The sequence below is a fragment of the Homo sapiens genome, chromosome 5 (assembly GCF_000001405.40).
Source record: "Homo sapiens chromosome 5, GRCh38.p14 Primary Assembly".
Lineage (NCBI taxonomy): Eukaryota > Metazoa > Chordata > Mammalia > Primates > Hominidae > Homo > Homo sapiens.
In genome coordinates, this window is record NC_000005.10 from 50,929,972 (window position 1) to 50,937,768 (window position 7,797).

Consider the following 7,797-nt stretch of genomic DNA (forward strand, 5'->3'; position numbering starts at 1 on the left):
TTATCTTCTTGTTAAGAACTCAATGCTTGGCACACATTAGGATAAATCGTGTTATTTCAGGTCAGTATCTCCCCGGAAATCGTTTTTCCAACCCTACCTGCAAACACACAACTTTCTCTATTCCCGAATACCGCACATTTCATAAATGGAGAATTATCTTACTCTAATTTAAATCAAACTGGTAAGCATACAAAGTTAGTATTTCTCCTGTTTTTGTCTAATAATTCCCTCCTGGTGTGAGTTTTAATATGTGGGAAGTAGAGAGGAAGGGGGTTAGATTTTGGAGTCAGTTAAAGGAGAGAAGGAAGTCAACAAAACAAAATTTTGCTTTCTTTAGTTTTTTCCTAAGCACATGATTTTTGGTATTGTTTTAAGAAGACAAAGGACTGATACCATAAAAGTCCATTTGAATGTTTTAATTCTAAACATACAATTTCTAGATCTACCAAATGCTAATCAATGTTGGGAATAAATTCATAAAATAAGGGAGTAAACTCCTAGAATGAGAATATTTTTTTTTTTTTAGTGCAGAGAAGGGATTTTTAAGGTAGAACGTGAATATGTTTTCAGCACCATTTTTTTTAAACGTGGGAAATTAAATTATCTGGAATTTGGTCACAGAGGAGCAGCTTGTATGCAAACTAAGTCAAGACTATTTCTCAATAATTTTCTAAGTGTTATTTATAAGTGGAACACACAAAAGAGAAAACGGTCCTTGTCTTCTCAGATCAACTCCTCAGATATACCACATTTTCCACTGGCAAGAAGTCATTCTGGCTGGGTGCAGAGGCTCAGGCCGGTAATCCCAGCAACTGGGGAGGCTGAGGCAGGAAGATCACTTGAGCCCAGGAGTTTGAGATCAGCCTGGGCAAAATAGAGAGACACCATCTCTTAAATAAAAAAAGAAAAAGACTGTACCAGAAGCAGTCTTCATGGCAGTGAGAGGAGCACAGTGCAAAACGAGAGAGATAATGAGTGACAAGGCTTTGTATAAACCTAGAGGCTATGTTAAGAATTATTTTGCTTTTGTTTTAGATTTCGTTTTAGTTGTTTTTTTTTTAAATTCCAAGAACACTAGTACATTGTTTAACATTTTTTGTTTGTGTTTAAGGAAGAATATGGGTCAGATTTGGGTTTTGGAAAGATAACTCTGCTGATGCTGAGGAAGGTAATTCATTAAAAGGGAGCAAACGTACATAAGGGAAGAGTGTTTGGGATATTATAATAATCAAGGAGGAAGATGTTGCCTACTTGGACTAGGCTGGTGGCAGTAGAGATGGAGAGAAGGGGATAGATTTGAAAAATACTTAGGGCATAAATCAGCAGACTTTGGAGCTGGAGTTGATATAAGGGTGTGGGAAGACTTCAAGGGCAAATTAGAGGTGCTTGTGATTTCAAAGAGGGACTGTTAGATGAAGTTTGAAGGTGGGGATGGGGAAAGAAGATCTTGAGTTTAGATCCAGACACCTTGGTATTGAGGTGCCTATAAAGGTTCAAAGAAGACATACAGAGCAGGGACTTGTTTGTACTCATCTGGAACTTAGAGAAGTAATCCAAACCAAAGATAATGCTTGTGATTCAAATCTTACAGACAAATCATAGCAGTGGGAATGAATGATACAATCCGTGGAATGAAAAGAGAAGAGGGTCACATATTGAGAGACTTCATTACTTCATGCCTGGATAAAAAGGGAATGAACTTGGAAAAAAGTCTGAGGAGAAGCACGCAGACACATAGGGAGAAAACTATTACATACCAGAAACCAAAAGAAAAGAGTATCTTAAAAAGTAGCAAGAAGTCAAAATGTCAAACACATCTGAGAAATCAAGATTCAATAGTGTGCATTGGATTTACTGACATATATAGTCCACTTATGGCTTTGGGGAGAGGGAGAAGAGATTCGTTTATGACGTGGGTTGTTGGATGAGATATATTCTAAGGTCCCTTTCAACTGTTAGATATGTTAAATTTTTGTCATGAAAGATACATTTCCAAATTATTTTATGGTAAGATTTTTAAGTCACCTGCCCCTTCAAAAATGTTTTCTAAATTTGGGATAATATTTATTAGAAAAAAGTGCAAATTTGTGTAAGAATGTTCATAACTTTTCAAAGACAATGGTTAAAGTGAAAATGTTAATATCTTTTGTTTTCATGTTAATAAAATCTCCAGCTGGGCTGCTTCTTCCTGTAAACAACAATTCACACAATGTTCAAATTGTAATCCAATTCCAATCTGGAATTGGTCACAGAGGAGCAGCTTGTATGCAAACTAAGTGAAGATGAAGGTTAGACCAGTTCTTGCTCATAAGAAATGCAGGAAGACTCAGGGATCAGGGTCCTGGAATCTCACTGTTGAGGGAGGCTGAATGAAGATGATTTTAAACATCTTTATTCTTTACTTAATCTGGGAAATCAATGGAAAATATCAAATTCTGGTCACTGTACTAAGTTACAGTTCTTCAGAAATGAGAGATAGTTTCCCACTGATACATTTGTCTAAGGCTTGGAAAACCTTAATAACATTTTGGACATTGTCAGAGATTGCTTTCTATTGGTAAATAGCAGCAAGGGTCTATTCTTGGCTTGGTAACTGATTGGAGGCCTGATTTGCAATGTGGCTCCCACCATGCTCTATGCTATAATTTCTCTGCCTATAAAATGTGTTACTTACACTCATCTCCATTGCAGAGTTCTGTGGATGCAGTTATATCAGTGATGGTCATAGATAAATAGTTATAACAATTCAAAGTCTATCTTAAAACATAAGCATCTATAATTCTCTTTTCCAGGTTGACACTCTTAAGAGTGTCAGGTGGCTGGATTATAATTGTTTTCTCTATGGCTTCTTCATGGAGTATACCTCCAGAATTTCTGGATCTTCAGTTCAATTAGATGCCCTTGCAAATAAAATGATTATTCTGTCTTTCTGCTGAGCATGAATGTCACAACCCGCACCTGCTCTGTGAATAGCAAGTCAACAATGGGAGCTGCCTTTCACTCTTCCCTTGGTGCCATTGCTGGTTGTCCTCAAAGAGCTTTGGCTTAGAGGATTTGCATGGGTTTACCTCTCTTTCTCTTGGCTACTCCCTGTGATTCCTCTCATCAGTGGTATCTTAAATCTGTACTCTCAGCAGTTTTTTCTCCTACAACTTCCAAAGGAAACTCTGGACAACTGTCTGTGGCAGTGGCAGCTCTGCTTTTCATAGCTTCTCAAACTAGTAGTTTACTCTCAGAGTCAGCTTCCCTCAACTGTGAGATTCCATGACCCCGATCCCTGGGTCTTCCTGCATTTCTTATGAGTGAGAACCGGTCAAACCTATTGAGTTTTCTGCTCTTGGTCCTCCCTAGTAGTTACTTACACTGCCAGCCTGTGCAGGGTATCTGGCATCCCTTTCTCCCTACATGGCAGTTCTTGGCTAAATCCCTAACCAGTTAGGTAACTCAGAATCACTCTCAGTTATATCTGGAAGTAATAACAAAAAGGTCCTTCTAGAGCTCTTGAAATGGTTTAATGGCTACATTCTCTTAAAAATAGCCCTTCCAAGTTACTCATTGAAAATCCTCCTAGGGGTGGGGAGAAAAAAACATCTTCAATACTTCCTACATAGTCACTCTGTTGATTTTCCTATTACACTTACCTGTGTCCTAACATTAGTTTATTCAGGGCAAGTTTTCTTAGTCATCAATATTCTTTCAAAAGGCAGAGTTTGGACAACTTCCAGGCAGTGTCCCAATTCAGTATAGAGAGGTCTTAAAAACTGTCCCAGCAAGAGAATCTGCTTCACAGGCCATTTGATAATAATACACGATGTGGCTTAGGAATAGTTCTGGATATTCTGCAGTGCAATACAAGGAAGATGGCATAGCATAGTAGCTGAGTATGAGATCTGACATTACAATAACCTGTGCTAAGTTTCTGCCTCTTTTATTTACTGAGCATGTAACTTTGGGGAAGTGAGTTTACCTTACCAGGTTCTAGTAACCTTGTCTGTAAAATGAGGTGATAATACCTGTCTTACATGGATGTTACCAATAGCCTATAGTAAGCAGTCCACACATTTTAATGTTGTAAGTTTTCCCACAGTACTTGCAATTGAACAGTTTCCTAAAAACTATTCTGATCTTCCTCATGAGTCAAAAAGTGAATCTAATAAATCAACCTGGTAACTTTAATGCAATTTAAATGGTCCCTTTAGGTACTGCTTGCTTTCCTTTGATAAAAATAATCAGTTTCTCAGAGTTCCACTCTCTTCCCTGCATCCCTCCAAGATGGCATCAGATATGTGAAGGTGGTAAAATGAACTATGTCCTCATCACAGTAGAGAAGAAAAGGTCCAGAGAGCCATGTACTTTTCTCTGGTCTCCATAGTGATGGCTTTCTGGATCCTGCTTGTCCTGCTGATATCCTAGCTCAGGTCTGGGCATTTGCTGGCCTTTCTCTAGGTTTCATTATTTCCCTGTGGAGCACCCCACATGAATCAGCCTTACCTTGGATCTTGCTTGCACTCTGGGCACCCTTGAACTCCTCCAGTGACTTCTGGGCTCAAACCTAGAAAAGGGAACTGCATGTCTTCTTCCTTATCTCTCAAGGTCAGAAAGGACAGACTTCTCCTGTACCTCCTCTAGATCCGGCCTTCCTTGTTCACAGATTCAGCCTTGTGACTAAAATCTAATGCCAGGTTCGATGTAGATATCAATTTGAAAATTACTTATTGGTAAAGGAGCCCAAATTGGGAGGTGTCTTAATCCCTTTGCATTGCTATTTTAAAAAATTCTGGCCGGATGTAGTGGCTCATCCCAGCACTTTGGGAGGCCAAGGCAAGCAGATCACTTGAGCCCAGGAACTCAAGACCAGCCTTGGCAACATGGCAAAATCCCATCTCTACACAAAAAATAAAAAAATTAGCCAGGTGTGGTTGTGCATACCTTTAGTACCAGCTACTCAGGAAGCTGAGGTAAGAGGATCTCTGGAGCCAAGGAGGTCAAGGCTGCAGTGAACTGTGATTGCACCACTGCACTCCAGCCTAGGTGACAGAGCAAGACCCCCTTTATTTTTTCAAATACAACGACTATAAAAACACTTGAGGCTGAGTAATTTATAAAGAATGATTTGGATCATGGTTTTGTAGGCTATACAAGAAGCACAACACCATTATCTGCTTCTGGTGAAGGCTTCAGGGATATTCCACTCATGGTAAAAAGTGGAGGGGAGCAGGCATCATATAGCAAGAGAAAAGGAAAAGTGGAGGAGGGGAGGTGCCAGACTCTTTTTAGCAGCACATCTCATGGAAACTAAGAGTGAGAGCTCACTCATTCCCCCCAGAAGAACATCAAGCCATTCATGAGGGATCTGCTTCCATGGCCCAAAAGACTCCTACTAGGACCCATTCCAACACTGAGGATCAAATTTCAACATGAAATTTGGAGGAGGAAAATATCCAAACTATATCAGGAGGTATTTCAAAATATAATATCTTTTTTATTCTTTTCCTATTAGACTTCCAATTTCCCATATCAAACTTCCAAGAAGGTGGATTTTAGGTCTCTAAATCAGATCTATTTCTCTGTTCATCTCTGGTTCCTTCAAACTTGACCAGATAATTCTGGATATTAATGGGAAAGTCTGTATCCTGCCATAAAAGTTGTTACATCCTACAATCTTAATTCTTTCCCAGCAATGAGCCCATTTCTCTTGCAACTGAAAAATTGTAGAGTCAGGAAGAAACCTCTGGAGGATTGGGTATTAACAGTGGGAGAGGTGAGTGGTATCTCACCTAAAGGCAACAGGAGTTGTAATCTGGCCACTAGCTTTTTCTAGGACTTCTTTCTCTCTTTGTCTCTAAATTGAGAGAAAAATAGCTGAACTGATCTGGGTACTTCAGGATCACATGATTCCTGCCTGGATGTCTACATTATTAATTATGGATTTTCTTTCTGAGTTGGCTAATAAGGTTTTAAAAATGTTTACTGGTCTCAATTTTATGTCCCAAGTTTTCATGACAGAATTGGGCTTCCCTCTGTTGAGTCAAAGGAGGGAGATTAAAGATGACTTTTCATTACCTGACCCTTTCTTTCTTCAACTGACTATCCCTTATCTGCTGAGCATTACATGTCTTTCGCAGAGCTACCACCTTGATTTCAAGTTGATTAAGATTTGAAATTAGTCCAAAGTGCAGACTTTTTCTGCACTTTGGTAAATATTTTCGAAAGAACAAACACAACAGCTTTCTTCAGCACTATGAAATTCCTGCTTTCTCCCAAGTATTGTTTTTTTTTCTTTCCTATTCACCTTTGTTGGTTTTTTTCCTTGTGTTCAACTGTATCCACTTGAGATCAGGAGTCAAACATTGTTGTTTAGTACATGAATCGATGGGTACTTCACTTGGTTTCCTAATGAGAATTCACTCAAGTCTAGGATAGAATTTTGAAAGCCACCTGCTGTTAAAATTATTTGCAAAAGTCTAAGTAGTTCCCTTTCAGTAAAGTTTAATAGAACTCCTAAAAATGCTGGGAAATTTTTCATTAATAGTTATGATGGAGAAAACTTGTAGCATTCCTAGTATATGCCTAATAAGGCCACCAGAAATGATGCAATGGCTTTTTCTCCTTATTTCTTGATGTTTGGGCAAGAATGCCAAGGTTCTCAATTTGATTGAGTCAAAGAGGTGAGGTACAGAAAAACCTCACAGATTGTATAGTTAACCTTGAACCAAGTAATGATGGTCAGACCAAGTTAGTGAAAAGGTCATTTGATAGTCGTAACCCCACTTATTCTACATTTGGAGTACAGTAAAGTATGGCTCTCACAGCCAAATGTTCCTTGTGAATGAGAACAAATCATAGAAGACATAAATTCAGGACAGAGATCCGATTTCCTCCCCAGTATCTACTTCCATCTCCAGGAATAAGGGAATGGTCAGATAAAGCATGTAGATTAAAGTGCAAGTATTTTTTGGAATATAAAAATTCATTTCTGAGAGTAGGAGTGTTGCCAGATAATGCCCTGAAATATTTATCTATGCACTTTCTTTTTCCACTACCTAGTCAGAGTCATACAGTGCCTCAAGGCAAAGTATAAATAAAAATAAATAATAAGCTAAATTTAAAATAAGACAATAAAAAAGCAAGAAACAGCCTGTCTTAGTCCATTTTTTGTGGCTGTAATAGAATACCACAGATTGGGTAATTTATAAAGAGAAGCAGTTTGTTTGGCTCATGGTATAGAGCTTGGGAAGTCCAAGATCAAGGGCAGGCCTCTAGTGAGGGCCTTCTCACTGCATCATCCCATAGCAAAAGGTGAGAGAGCAGGAGAAAGGGGACCAAACTTCATCCTTTTATCAGGAACCCATTTCCACAATAACAACATTAAACTTCACGAGGGCGAAGAACTTGTGACACAATAACCTCTTATTAGGCCCACCTCCCAACACTGTTGCATTGGGATTAAGTTTCTGATATGGTTTTGATATTTGTACCCTCCGAATGTCATGTTGAAATGTGATCCCCAATGTTGGAGGTGGGGCCTAGTGGGAGTTATTGGATCATGGGGATGCATCCCTCATGAATGGCTTAGCAGCATCCCCATGGTGATAAGTGAGTTCTTGCTCAGTTAGTTCATGTGGAATCTGGTTGTTTAGGAGTCTGGGACCTCTCTGTTCTCTCTCTCTTGCCCTCTGTCTCTCTTGCCATATGGCATGCTGGCTCCCCTTCACCTTCCACCATGACTGTAAGCTTCCAGAGGCCCTCATCAGAAGCAGATGCCAACACCATGCTTCCTGTACGGCCTCCAGAACC